We start from the raw sequence: 15,833 nt of genomic DNA, 5'->3' as shown, positions 1-15,833 counted from the left end.
TTCTTTCTTGGGGATAATTTTTGTTTTTAATAAAAGTCTTATGAACAATAAAATTACAAGAAAGGAGAAAGAAAACTTAGAATCTCAATACTTTGATAAATCAGCTGTCAACTGTTAACTTGGCTTCCTTTCTGAAGCTACCATACGTCTACATAGGACCTTGAGATCATCTCATGAATATCATATAGGTGATCAGAACATTATTTGACCTTTAGTTTGGCATCGTGATAAAATTTCATTTTGAATTGAGGAAGCATGCTTTTATCTGGTTGATGGACCAAAAAAAGTCATCTTTTCTAATGAAAAGGTACACATTTTAGGAAATCCTAATTTCTAATTGATCTCTGACATTACATAGTTTTATTACTTTGAACAAGTAATTTCTCTTTGGAATTCGGATTCTGTTTCTTAAGGAATGGATTGGACTAAATATAGTTACTTCATTTAATAGGTATTTTCTGAATGCTTAATTCTTGGAAAACAAAGGGAAATATAAAAGTCTGACCTCCTAAAGCTTATACTTTGGGAGAGACAGCCTTTCTACCCTCACAAATATAATATAAATGCTAGTAACTTCAGTAGTTACCTTCAACTGATATAAGTCCTGTCTCCATTTTTTTTTTTCCTTTTTCTTTCCTCTATCATCAGTAGAGTTGCGGTACAGTAAGAAGGAGTTAAGGAAACACTCATATTGTAGGCAAATAAATATATGTTGATCAAATGAATGGATACTTGCAAGTCTCTGTTATGTGTAGACCTCTTGATTTATTTGTATTCATTTACTTCATAAATCTCATCAAAGCAACATATTTCCTCCTTGAATTCCCCTCAGACACTTCTTATATGCAAGCTGTATCTTCAGGTTTCAGTTTAAACCATTGCATGTATATGAGTGCGTATGCTACAAACCTTTAACTACACTTGTAATTAATGTTCATATTATATTGTTCTATTGAAATTTGCATCCTTCTTTGTCTACAAATGTGCATAATTTTGGTGTTATAATATCCTCTTCTGGCCGTACATAAGTTTATAGTGCTTATAATTCTAGAATACTTAGTTAATATTATAAACTCTGAAAGTCAGCTTCTGTAGTTAGCAATTTTTTCAGAATATGATCTCAATATATCATTTTTCTAATGTAAGCATGTTCTGTTTCTTAACTCATATTGAATGCATGCATGGTAATAAATCTAGTAGTAGGTTAAAAATAATTCACTTCACTTTCAGTATTTACTGTACCATTAGTCATATATCAGGTTTTAATGGGTTAAATACATGTAACACTCTATAAAGAGCTAGCCTTTCTTCATTTATATCAGGATGTCTGATGTCCCTAGCTGAATGAACATATAATAAATGAAAATATATGTATATATACATGTATACCTCTGTATGTCTATATATGTATAATTAGAGCTCATTTCTTTATCTTCTTTTGCCCAGCCAACTTTTTTTTTTTTGAGATGGAGTTTTGTTCTTGTCGCCCAGGCTGGAGTGCAATGGCCCAATCTCGGCTCACTGCAACCTCCGCCTCCCAGATTCAAGCAATTCTCCTGCCTCAGCCTCTGAGTAGCTGGAATTACAGGTGTGTGCCACCATGCCCGGCTAATTTTTGTACTTTTAGTAGAGACAGGGTTTCACCATGTTGGCCAGGATGGTCTCAAACTCCTGACCTCAGGTGATCTACCCGCCTTGGCCTCTCAAAGTACTGGGATTATAGGCGTGAGCCACTGTGCCCGGCCCTGTGCAGCCAACTCTTACTCTCTTTTGTAGTTAAGCCCAGGCAACATGTCCTGCAATGCTTCTCTGAACTCTGCCTTCCAAATTAGCTGGCCACTCCACTTGTGTGCTTCCATAGTTCCCTAGGTACACTTCTGTCAAGTCCTTCTCACTGGGAACTAGTATAGAGTAAATATATTTCAGTACCTAAGACAATCTTTGACACACCTGTAGGTGTATAATAAATAGCTATTGAAAGAATACAGATTAAATAAATTAATGTCTTTACTTTGTATCCCCAACAACAAAGTCTGTGCCTGGAAATCAATAGGTACTTAATAAAAGTTGCATAAGTGAATGAACAACTGAAACAGAAGGAAGGAAGGAAGGAAGGAAGGAAGGAAGGAAGGAAGGAAGGAAAGGAGGTTGGCCAACTACTATTAAGGGATTTTATTGGATGCTTTTTTAAATTGAACTCATTTTTGTCTTCACTTTTTTAAACACTTATTTTGTCTTTATTCTGATTTTTTCTGAACCATATTTTTGTCAAGTAAATACAGTTTTTCAATTGTTTTATGTGTATTAGATGTTTATTATAAATAAATATTGTTAAAATTTAAGGAAATAAAGTAAAAATTACTGACAAATTTATCATGCAGAGATAACTATTTTGGAGGAAAACCTTCCAGACTTTGAAATATATATATATCACACTTTAGGAAAATATATATATATATTTATATATATCACACTTTAGGAAAATAAAGCATGCTATATAATACTGTTTTTTAGCTTGCCCTCTGCCCTCTAAAACTTTTTGTAATGAAAAAGGTGTAATGAAGGCCTTTTACACCAATAAATACTGATCAATCTGTATCATTAGTTTTAATCCACAGTAGATACCTAATTAGACTAATCTCTCATTGTTAGATTTTATATTGCTTTCATTTTTTGACTGTTATTGGAATGGTGAGATGAATGTCTTTGCTCATATATTTGTGCACATGTAGGCCATTTGCCACATAAAAGGACCTTGGATGTGTCTGTAGGAAAGTGTCTTGGATTTCTGTAGGAAGTATCTTTGTTGCTTAATTGCTGAGTCAAAGGGTAAGATTGTTAAACATTTTGACACATTGACAAATTAATAAAAGGTTGTGACAAAATATATTGTGATAAACAATGATTTTCCATCTCAAACACTAATTAACTCACTTGTAAAGTGCTTGAAGAACGCCTGATACATAGGGCTCAATAAATTTTAAATCTTCATCATCATCATCACATCATCATCATGAACATCCCCTTTGAGTTAATGTTTACATTGTAAGTGTGTATGTAAGCTACTTACAATCATTTTTTATATCCAAGGAGGACTAAACAAGTGCTCAAATAGATTGTCTTACTAAACTATTGGCATTTTGTAACTTTGTCATCCCCCAATATTTTCCTATTTAATGCAATGAACATTAATAACCTCATCTTTCTCATATTGGCAGTAGGCAAAATACATGATAATGAAGAAGCATGATTTTTAATTTTGAAACTCTATATTATACTGCCTGATATGCCAGTATTTTTCAGTATGAACTCATAAAGATGAAAGTAAATGTGCAAGAGTCATATTATAATGCCACATTGAAAGCACAAAGAGAAAAGGAAATTATAAGTGAAGGAGGAAAGATTTGTATTTTAATTTATTAAGTAAAATTTGTTAGGAAAAATTTGTTCTAGGATGTATGACACATTATCTTTCTTCCCATATTCTGAAATGATGTGGCTTATTTATATCTTTGTTAGAGAGGTGCAGTTCTTACAGCTAAGTGCTGTGGAAGGACCTAGATTATTTTTGGTCTTCAAACAAATTGTAGTGGTGGTATTTTTTAAAAAATGGAAATCTCATGTAAAACACCCAGAGATCAGACAGTTCAAAATAATGATGGAACTTCCTCAGCAGTTAAATGTTTGTGATTTTTTTAAACTAATACTTCATTTTGTTTGTGAATTTTCTCAAATACTTCCCCAGACCTCAGATTAGTTTCTGCAGATTTATAACATACAAAAAACACTTCTGTTCTTACTGTATTTTTGGAACTTTAGAGAAACTTGAATTTTTTAAAAATGAATTAATTTTTAAACTTTCAATTTATGTACTTAGAACAACTCCCAATTTTTCTTGCTTACTAAAGTCCATTGCTAAGAAAAGAAGATAATTAAGTAAACATGTAAAAAGAAAATGTATGCTAATTTTAAAATGGTCATCATATTAAATACTTTTTTTTTTATAATTTTCACCTTTTAGCCTCAAGTGATGAGCCAAAATTTTGAATGTTAAAATAGCCCCTGCTTTGGGGATGTAAAATAACATAAATATGAAAAGCTCATCTTTTATACTTGAAAGAGCTTAATGGATATGGCTTTCATTATTGATTTATGGTATATAAAGATATCTTAGTTTGTAGTCAAAGTGAATATAAACCACAACTTTTTCTGACTCTTTCCATTTCTAGCATTTTCTAACATCACATTTGCATATTTTCCTGACCGCTTCTGAAATCCTGAGGTTAAAAGGAATACAGAAAGATGTAATTAGATTTATCATTCCCTTAAATTCAACTTGTGTAGCTGAAGGTTTGTTTGTGACTTATTACAGAGCCTGTGACTTAAAAATCCTTCCCACAACCACAAGCTAAAGTGGGAGAAAACAAACTACCTCACCTTTTCAACCAAGAGGGAGGAGCAAAAATCAGTGAACTTTTACAGAAGAACCTGCCAGCCTGTGATGATCCTACCAAAGAGAAACCTCAATGAGTTACGGAATTTCCTTTTTGGTGAATTGAGTGCTGTTTTTGCTTTTCTCAGATTCCAAATGAGAGTATACATTTTTCTTTGTTTGATGTGCTGGGTGAGATCTGGTAAGATATTAATTAATAATTTGATTTATCTTTAAAAATTGCATATAAAATAGTGTGGTCTGTATTCTGGGATAAAGAATGTTATGATATAATGGGATAAAAATATGTTAGATTATTGGTACTAATTATAACAAACATTACTATTAAGAAAACTTCTGTGTGTGTACGTGTGTGTGTGCATGTGTTTGTTTAATAAGTTGACATTTTGCATTTTATTTCCTTGCCAGATAATTAGTAACTAGAAAACCTTTTTTTAAAAAAAGATGTAACTAGAGAATAAATAGAAATACTCAAGAGAAAAAAATTCAGTAATGGAGAAATTAATTTGGTATTTAAAATTATGCCTTAAATATCTTGTTTCAATTTTATTTGTTTAACTAGCTCTACTTTTGAAGAAAATTCTTACTTGGATAAATTATCGATTGCAAAACAAACAAAATAACCAGATACTACAACTTTTGCTCTCATTCAGTATGACGAAAAACAAAGCTGGTTTATGGTAATAAGGTAGAACTTTATTCTGGTTTATTGGCGTACAGTAATAAAGTTTATCAATATTAAGAGTATCGTTTTCTACTTTATGAGAAAGTAGAATTACTTGTTCGACTTATAAGTAGAACAATTAGTTCTACTTTATGGTAATAACAGTGGCAAATTTAAAATTCAAGATGATAGTTTTCTGTAGGGGTTTTATGAGAGCAGATTATTTCCTTTATGTTTTAAATTTATTTGAAATTTGTTAATGCATACTTGAATAACTTTAAAATTAACTAGAAATTACCATTATTTCTTATGTTTTCAATTGGCTATTTGAGATAACCATAAATTCTGGAAATGTTTGAATTTTATATTTAAATATAGAAACTAAATGATACTGATATGTAGTTTATAATTTATATTATTACTCTTAAGTTTCTTGATAGGGATTTTATGTTATTATAATGTAAAATAGTGGCACCTTCAGTTGAAAGCCAGAGAAATTTGAAGTCTAGGCCCCTAATCTTATGTGTCATTTTTAATACAGTTATAATCATTTTAATATCATAGTTTACATTAAAAACTTATTTGACAGACTTTCTGATATTATTGTTTTGATTAGTATTTATTTAGTCAGTTGCCTAAATTTTCAGTTGGGAAAATTCAAACATAATTGCTTTGTATGTTTCTGTCTGCTAATTCTTGTGTAATGATGATTAAAATACAATAGTAGAACTTTTAGATATTAACAGTAGTAAATAGAAAATAAGTGAATTACAAATTTTACTGATCCTCAAATTCATTTTTAACCCATGTAGACTCTATGCATTCTCTCATTTTCCTTGAATCTCTACTTGATTAAAAAATTTTGTTGATTTCCAGTAGTTTATTTCATACAAGTGTGTTTTATTTATTACACATGCTCCTTTCTTCTCCACTAGAGATTCTGATATATACCTCAAGGAGGGCATGTTTCATGGTTGTCAACATGAAAATCATTGATTAAATCTGCCTTTAATAAAGAAACGACATTCCGAAAAGCAGTTTAGTCAGGTGTTTTTAAAAATTGTAAGTAGAATAAAATGGGAGAGGAGAGATAGATCAAAAAACTTTATACAGATATACAGTACATCTATGTATCTGTATATTCAAATTATATGCATATATGCATATTTATTCTTAGTACAGTTACCAACTTATTGTAACCATTTACACTGAAATTTTTGTTGTTGCTGTTATTATATTGCAAGGGTCAGAAATTCTTTTTTTCTTTGGACAGGGTCTCATTCTGTCACCCAGGCTGGAGTACAGTGTGAAGTTCATGGCTCACTACAGCCTCGACCTCCTAGGTTCAAGAAATCCTCTGGCTTCAGCTTGCAGGGTAGCTGGGGCTGCAGGCACACACCACCACGCCTGGCTAATTTTGTAATTTTTGGAGAGACAGCGTTTCACTATGTTACCCAGGCTGGTCTCCAACTCTTGGGCTCAAGTGATCTGCCCTTCTCAGCCTCCCAAAGTGCTGGGATTACAGGCATGAGCCACTGAGCCAGCCAGGAAATATTTTTGTAAACGACCAGATAGTAAATATTTTACGTTTTGTGGGCCATACAGTCTCTTTTGCACCTACTCAGCTTTGTTACCAAAGCAAGAAAGCAGCAGTAGATAATGCATAAACAAGTAAATGTGCATGTGCACGTGCACGAATACAACTTTATTTATGGACACTCACATTTGAATTTGTTGTAACTTTCATGTCACCAAATATTATAATTTTGATTTTTTCCCAACCATTTAAACATGTAAAAAACATTCTTAGCTTGCCAACCAGACTTGACCACAGGACATAGTTTCCCACTCCTGTGTGCTTTGGAAGAGATGTTAAAGGTAGAATAATTCAGCTTTCTCATTTCACAGTTGAGGAAAGTGAAAAACAGAATAAAATGAAGTTATTTTTGTAAAGTCACAGAACTTGTAGTATGTGATAAAAATGCGAATTCTTATCCATAGGCTGGAGGTGAAGCCCAAGATTAGCAATTCTACTAAGCACTCAGGTGATGCCTACGGGTACGCAGACCACCTTGGAGTAATAAGGGTATAGGAAGTTACAGAACCTTAGAAGCCTGTTTGTAGGGCAGTAATCTTTCCAGAACCCATGGGATTCTGAGCTGAGTGCCTCAACAAAATCATTATTTTTCTCTAAATTGTGTCAGTATTTTTCTGATATGATCCACGATTAATTTTTCTTGACTTACTAAAATCAGATGCCCTCAAGGAATTTTAATTTATTGTACCAAAATCTCTTTAAACAAGGATCATGTGAAAGAAAATGAAATTTGGAACTAAAAGACCCAGATTCATGTCCTGGTGGCATGTCATCTTGTGCCAAGTCACTTAACCCTCTACATGCAGTTAATAGCTGTAATACTATCTCACTCTATTGTGAAGCTCAAAGAAGGTAACATAAATGTTGATTTGGTCACGTAGAAAGCAATATAAATTAGGTTAGAATAATCCACTGTGTTTTTTTCCGTGTTCATTTTCTCTTTAATTCTTTTAGATAATTTCCAGATGTAAAACTTCTCCGTGTGTGCTTCATGAACTACCATATGAGAATTCTCTGGGTTACCCACTTAAAAAAATGCAGATATATCTACCAAATCAGAATCTCTGGGGTTGGCCCCAGGAAATTACATTCTGAAAATTCTGATGTACCCAGTCATTTTTTTTTACATCCATTTTTAAGATCATTCTTGGGAATTCCTGGTATAAAGACTTGTTAGACACCTACTTTATTTTGCTTGTGTAGTCAGATTCATTTTCAGCAGCTTTCCTAACATTTGCATAAATGAGTTGCTGACTATCTTGTTTTTTCATTAAAAAATTAATTGACATAGTTGTGCCTATTATTTCTAGAGTACATAGTAATATTTTGATAGATATAATGCATAGTGATCATATCAAAGTAATTAGTGTATTGATATCTCAAACAGTTACCATTTCTTTATGTTGGGAACACTCAATATCCTCCTAGCTATTTGAAACTATGTATTATTGTTAACTATAGTCATTCTACGCTGATGTAGAACACTAGAACTTATTTCTCCTATCTAGCTATAATTTTGTATTCTTTCTAAATGTGTGTTTTGATTGCTTCACAACTACATAATTAAAGCTATATTTGCCTTTTATTTTGCTTTCTGCCACTAGCATTCAGGGATTTTAACATTTTACCTACAGTGTTGTGTCTTAACTGGCTCTGTGGCCATAGAAGCCACTGTCTTCGTAGCATAAAGTGGGTCAATTGTTTCGTACTTGGAATTCTGCTGGCCCAAAAGGGTCTTCCTTCTTATTATACATGAATAAACAAAGAGCTAGTGAACTTCTGATAGGGTCTTATTTATGTTGCTCAAATGTTTACATAATAACTTGTGCCAAAAATATAGTGCTCATGCTTTTCAGTTCTCACCCAGAAATGTCCTGTGGCTTCTAGTTGTGTGCCTGAGATCAGGTAATCTCTTTTAACTTCACTTTCTTCATATATAAAATGAAGAAAAGAAGAGGAAATATAAAACAACACTGGGCTTGCCATGAAGTGATAGCTGAATATAAACTATTATCATGTGGTTAATATTGTTGTTGTTAACAAATCCGTTTTTTTTCCAGAAATGAGGAAAGAGAATGAAGGAGGTTTTCATGTAGGATTTTTGGGATGAGAATGGGGGTTTAGATTATCAGAAAAAAAAAGGGTTAAATCTTTCTAAGATGTGTGAGGATTGTAGCTTTTTATGGCTAAGTTTTAAGGCTCTCTGTTCTTGAGTCAGCAAAACTAGTGGTTCTTTTGTTCATTTTGATTACAAACTAAGTTATCTTTATACACCATAAAATCAATAATGAAAACACTGAAAATTGCAAGACAAACTTATCTCAGCAGCTTGCCCAGCATGAAAAAGCATTTGAAATCAAAGAATGTTACAGTAACAGGAGACCATTTCTTTCAACTCCTTCCATTTAAACATGAGGAAACTGAGACTCAGAGATGAGAGGTAAAATAACTTGCTCAGAGTCACAAGAGATGTTTGAGAGAGGCTAGAGGTACTTGAGTCTCAGCTGCTCACGTCCAGGGCACTATGCCTGCCTCTGGACTGTCTGTTTTAATCTCCTTGCTCTCAATTTCACAGGCATTGTAACTGTAATGGAAATATGTTTCAGAGAGAATGCTGGACAACCTACAATGATTATTTATAACTTCCCCATGTGTCTTTGGTATTTTTAACATTTTTGCTGCTTCTATAATTTGAAACCTAATAAGATTTTCAGTATTATTTCTCAGCTTACCTCTCTGTTGAGATTACTGCTAGAGTCATTATCTTCCTACATCTTTGGAAATAAAATTCTATATTATGTACCTGCTAGTGAATTTTGAATCACAATAGAGTTACTTAGTCTATTTCTCAGATCCTCAATTTGTTAATTTTTCAAACAGGTACAAAAATTAATACTAATCTTTCTGTTTTAGATATATTCAGTTTTTGCTGATACCATTCATTTTGGCAATTTTTATTCTTAATTAACTGAAGTCTATTAAATCTATTTTTTCTCATTAAACTAAGAAATGAATATTTTAGACATAGGAAACTAAAAATATTAAAATACAGACAATAGAAATCACACAGAGAAATACAGATAAACTGAGAACACAATTTAATCAGCATCACTGCAAACTACATTTGTGTTGGTTAATATCTTACCCAATAAAGATGTGTGTGTGGGGGGAGGTATGTGCACAAATATATACATGTGTTTACAGTGTATTATATATACGCTATATCATGGATAAAATGAGTACTATATAAATATGGGCTATATATGCAGAAATATATATTCATATGGTTCATGTGTATGGTTTTTATTATCTTATTGTATTTCATTTTACATAATACGTGCTTTCTGATGTTATCCTTAGTTTTCAGAAACATAATTTCTTAAATGCTGCATAGTCCCCATCTTAGAAATACATGATAATTTATTTTTCCAGTCTATAATTTCCATGTATTTAATTGAATCCTAAATATTCTGTATTGAAATGTTGCAATATACATTGATGTTAGTAGTCAATGAGTATAAAGGTAAAAATGATATGGTAATTTTATTTTAATTAAAATTTATTGATTTTTTAAGGAGACTAAGCATATGTTTAATACATTTATGAACTCTTTGAATATTTTTAGAAAATATCTGTTTATATCCCTTACCTGGTGTTCAACTATAGTATTCTTTTTCTTTTTTCTCATTTATGGTTTTGTATATATATATTAGTTCCTTTCCTACCTTATATTGAAAACACTTCCGTAGTTCATTTTTTGTCTTTTGTCTAGTTTATAGTGTTTCTTTATGTACAGATGTTTTAAATGTATGTGCTATGAAATCTATTGGCTTCCTGGTTTCTTCCTTTGTTTTTATGCTGAAAAATTATTCTTCAATCTGAGATCATATATATATTAACTGTGTCCTTCTTCTAGTTCATATGATTTTACTTTTACATGGAATACTTTAATATAACTAGAATCAAATAATTATCCTAGCATTGTTTATTTAAAAATCCATCACCTTTGACTGCTTTTAATTGCCATAATTATTATAGTTAAAATGATATATTTATGGGTGTCCCCATTCTATTTCATTAAACTATTTTTGGTTCTGTTTCACAGGCCTCTTTTTAATTGGTTTATTATGTGAACATAATTTTAATCATGGTCCTATTATCTTCAAAATGTCATTTATTTTTCTTATACAGTTTCTGCCTCTCCTTAGTTATTGTATTGAGATTATTTTAGAATTGCACTGCACATATAAATTAATTTGAGCAGAATTTACTTCATGATATTAATGCTTATATTCAATCATGGTGTATTTCAGTACTGTATTTTTAAAAATTTCTTTTTTCATTTTTTCCTCTTTTCTCTTTTCCTCTTCTTTCTGTTTTCTTTTCCTTCTTTTCTCTCTCTCCTCCCAAACCCTTCTACCTCTTTTTTAAAAAAAAGACTAATTTGCAAATCATAGGAACCTAGTTTAAACCGGCTTAAACCCACTCATCCTTCAAAAAATAGTAATTGATTATATCATATAACTGAAAATTTTTGAATTAAATACCACTACATTTATTTATACCAGTACACATATTAAGCCTAGCATCCATTAGATATTCTTCCTGATGCTCTCGCTCCCCATAACCCCCACAAACAGGGCCCAGTGTGTGTTGTTCTCCCCCATGTGTCCATGTGATTTCAGCATTTAGCTCCCACTTAGAAGTGAGAACATGTGGCATTTGGTTTTCTGTTTCTGTGTTAATTTGCTAAGGATAATGGCCTTTAGCTCCATTCGTGTCCCTGTGAAGGCTATGATCTCATTCATTTTTAAGGCTGCATAGTATTCCATGGTGTATATGTACCACATTTTCTTTCTTTCTCTTTTTATTATATTTTAAGTTTTAGGGTACATGTGCACAACGTGCAGGTTAGTTACATATGTATACATGTGCCATGTTGGTGTGCTGCACCCATTAACATTAATGTTACATTAAATATCATGTAACATTAGGTATATCTCCTAATGCTATCCCTCCCCCCTACCCACACCCCACAACAGGCCCCAGTGTGTGATGTTCACCTTCCTGTGTCCATGTGTTCTCATTGTTCAATTCCCACCTATGAGTGAGAACATGCGGTGTTTGGTTTTTTGTCCTTGTGATAGTTTGCTGTGAATGATGGTTTCCAGCTTCATCCATGTCCCTACAAAGGACATGAACTCATCCTTTTTTATGGCTGCATAGTATTCCATGGTGTATATGTGCCACATTTTCTTAATCCAGTCTATCATTGATGGACATTTGGGTTGGTTCCAAGTCTTTGCTATTGTGAATAGTGCTGCAATAAACGTAAGTGTGTATGTATCTTTATAGCAGCATGATTTATAATCCTTTGGGTATATACCCAGTAATGGGATTGCTGGGTCAAATGGTATTTCTAGTTCTAGATCCCTGAGGAATCGCCACACTGACTTCCACAATGGTTGAACTAGTTTACAGTCCCACCAACAGTGTAAAAGTGTTCCTATTTCTCCACATCCTCTCCAGCACCTGTTGTTTCCTGACTTTTTAATGATCACCATTCTAGCTGGTGTGAGATAGTATCTCATTGTGGTTTTGATTTGCATTTCTCTGATGGCCAGTGATGACGAGCATTTTTTCATGTGTCTTTTGGCTGCATAAATGTCTTCTTTTGAGAAGTGTCTGTTCATATCCTTCGCCCACTTTTTGATGGGTTTGTTTGTTTTTTTCTTGTAAATTTGTTTGAATTCATTGTAGATTCTGGATATTAGCCCTTTGTCAGATGGGTAGATTGCAAAAATTTTCTCCCATTCTGTAGGTTGCCTGTTCACTCTGATGGTAGTTTTTTTTGCTGTGCAGAAGCTCTTTAGTTTAATTAGATCCCATTTGTCAGTTTTGGCTTTTGTTGCCATTGCTTTTGGTGTTTTAGACATGAGGTCCTTGCCCATGCCTATGTCCTGAATGGTATGGCCTAGGTTTTCTTCTAGGGTTTTTATGGTTTTAGGTCTAACATTTAAGTCTTTAATCCATCTTGAATTAATTTTTGTATAAGGGGTGAGGAAGGGATCCAGTTTCAGCTTTCTACATATGGCTAGCCAGTTTTCCCAGCACCATTTATTAAATAGGGAATCCTTTCCCCATTTCTTGTTTTTCTCAGGTTTGTCAAAGATCAGATGGTTGTAGATATGCGGCATTATTTCTGAGGGCTCTGTTCTGTTCCATTGATCTATATCTCTGTTTTGGTACCAGTACCATGCTGTTTTGGATACTGTAGCCTTGTAGTATAGTTTGAAGTCAGGTAGCATGATGCCTCCAGCTTTGTTCTTTTGGCTTAGGATTGACTTGGCAATGTGGGCTCTTTATTGGTTCCATATGAACTTTAAAATAGTTTTTTCGAATTCTGTGAAGAAAGTCATTGGTAGCTTGATGGGGATGGCATTGAATCTATAAATTACCTTGGGCAGTATGGCCATTTTCACGATATTGATTCTTCCTACCCATGAGCATGGAATATTCTTCCATTTGTTTGTATCCTCTTTTATTTCATTGAGCAGTGGTTTGTAGTTCTTCTTGAAGAGGTCCTTCACATCCCTTGTAAGTTGGATTCCTAGGCATTTTATTCTCTTTGAAGCAATTGTGAATGGGAGTTCATGATTTGCCTCTCTGTTTGTCTGTTATTGGTGTATAAGAATGCTTGTGATTTTTGCACATTGATTTTGTATCCTGAGACTTTGCTGAAGTTGCCTATCAGCTTAAGGAGATTTTGGGCTGAGACAATGGGGTTTTCTAGATATACAATCACGTCATCTGCAAACAGGGACAATTTGACTTCCTCTTTTCCTAATTGAATACCCTGTATTTCCTTCTCCAGCCTGATTGCCCTGGCCAGAACTTCCAACACTATGTTGAATAGGATTGGTGAGAGAGGGCATCCCTGTCTTGTGCCAGTTTTCAAAGGGAATGCTTCCAGTTTTTGCCCACTCACTATGATATTGGCTGTGGGCTTGTCATAGATAGCTCTTATTATTTTGAGATACGTCCCATCAATACCTAATTTATTGAGAGTTTTTAGCATGAAGGGTTGTTGAATTTTGTCAAAGGCCTTTTCTGCATCTACTGAGATAATCATATGGTTTTTGTCGTTGGTTCTGTTTATATGCTGGATTACTTTTATTGATTTGCGTATGTTGAACCAGCCTTGCATGCCAGGGATGAAGCCCACTTGATCATGGTGGATAAGCTTCTTGATGTGCTCATGTCATTTGCCCACTATTTAATGGAGTTGTTAGTTTTTATTCTTGTAAATTTGTTTAAGTTCCTTATAGATTTATAGATTCTGGATATTAGACCTTTGTTGGATGCATAGTTTGCAAAAATTTTCTCCCATTCTGTAGGTTGTTTAGTCTGTTGATAGTTACTTTTGTTGTGCAGAAGCTCTTTAGTTTAATTAGATCCCACTTGTTAATTTTTGTTTTAGTTGCAATTGCGTTTGGTGTCTTTGTCGTGAAATCTTAGCCTGTGTCTATGTTCTGAATGGTATTGCCTAAGTTGTCTTTCAGGGCTTTTGTAGTGTTGGGTTTTACATTTTATGTTTTTAATCCCTCTTCAGTTAATTTTTGTATATGATGTAAGGAAGGAGTCCAGTTTCAATCTTCTTCATATGGCTAGTCAGTTATCCCAGCACCACTTATTCGACAGGGAATCCTTTCCATTGTTTTTGGCAGGTTTGTTGAAGATCAGCTAGTTGTAGGTGTGCAGCATTATGTCTGGGTTCTCTACTCTGTTCCACTGGTTTATGTGTCTGCTTTTGTACTAGGATCATGCTGTTTTGGTTATTGTAGCCCTGTAGTATAGTTTGAAGTCAGGTAGTGTGATGCCTCCAGCCTTGTTCTTTGTGCTTAGGATTGCCTTGGCTATTTGGGCCCTTTTTTGGTTCCATGTGAATTTTAAAATAGTTTTTTTTTTCTCATTCTGTGAATACTCTCAATGGTAGTTTAATAGGAATCACATTGAATCTATAAATTGCTTTGGGCAGTATGGTCATTTTAATGATACTGATTCTTTCTATCCATGAGCATGGTATGTTTTTCGATTATTTTTGTGTGCCATCTCTGATTTATCTGGGCAGTGTTTTGTTGTTCTCCTAGTAGAGACCTTTCACTACCCTAGTTAGTTAGATGTATTCCTAGGTATTTTATTCTTTTTGTGGCAATTGTGAATGAGAGTTAATTCCTGATTTGGCTCTAGGCTTGACTTTGTTGGTGTATAGGAATAATAGTGATTTTTGCACATTGATTTTGTATCCTAAGACTTTGCTGAAGTTCTTCTTTATCAATTTAAGAGGCATTTGGGCAGAGACTATAGGGTTTTCTAGAGATAGGATCATGTTGTCTGCAAACAGTGGTAGTTCATCTTCCTCTCTCCCTATTTGGATGCCTTTTATTTCTTTCAAATCTTGCCTGATTGCCCTGGTCAGGACCAATACTATGTTGAACAGGAGTGGTGAGAGAGGGTATCCTTGTCTTGGCTGGTTTTCAAGGGGAATGCTTTCAGCTTTTACACATTTAGTATGATGTTGGCTGTGGGTTTGTCATATATGGCTCTTATTATCTTGAGGCATGTTCCTTCAATACATAGTTTATTGAGAGTTTTTAGCATGAAGCGATGTTGAATTTTACTGAAGGCCTTTTCTGCATCTATTGAGATAATCATGTGGTTTTTGTCTTTAGTTCTGTTTATGTGATGAATCACATTTATTGATTTGTGTATGTTGAACCAACCTTCCATCTCAGGGATAAAGCCTACTTGATCATGGTGGATAAGCTTTTTGATGTGCTACTGGATTCAGTTTTCCAGTATTTTGTTGAGGATTTTTGCATTGATATTCATCAATGATATTGGCCTGAAGTTTTTTGTGGTGTTGTTAAATCTCTGCCAGATTTTGGTATCAGGATGATGATGGCTTCATAGAATGATTTAGGGAGGAGTCCCTCCTCCTCATTTTTTCTGGAACAGTTTCAGTAGGAATGGTACCAGCTCTTCTTTTATATCTAGTAGAATTCAGCTGTGAATACATGTGGTCCCAGACTTTTCTTAGGCTTTTTTTTTTTGGTTGG

The 15,833-nt window shown here is 33.5% G+C and overlaps 1 protein-coding gene across 8 annotated transcripts in view; it reads left to right on the top strand.

Moving 5' to 3' along the window:
* Positions 4,479–15,833, top strand: part of LIPI (lipase I) — a 102,144-nt gene continuing 90,789 nt past the window's right edge. For 7 of the 8 annotated variants that reach the window (NM_001379566.1, NM_001302999.2, NM_001379565.1 and 4 more), the window contains exon 1: positions 4,479–4,634. In NM_001379566.1, coding sequence (NP_001366495.1) covers positions 4,589–4,634 — 46 coding nt within the window. In that variant the 5' untranslated portion in view covers positions 4,479–4,588. Of the gene's footprint in view, positions 4,635–8,484; positions 8,620–15,833 lie in introns of those variants that run through there. The other variant, NM_198996.4, reaches the window with a different exon arrangement.

The sequence above is a fragment of the Homo sapiens genome, chromosome 21, assembly GCF_000001405.40.
Source record: "Homo sapiens chromosome 21, GRCh38.p14 Primary Assembly".
In the NCBI taxonomy this organism is placed as follows: domain Eukaryota; kingdom Metazoa; phylum Chordata; class Mammalia; order Primates; family Hominidae; genus Homo; species Homo sapiens.
This window is presented reverse-complemented; position numbering and strand designations above follow the sequence as displayed.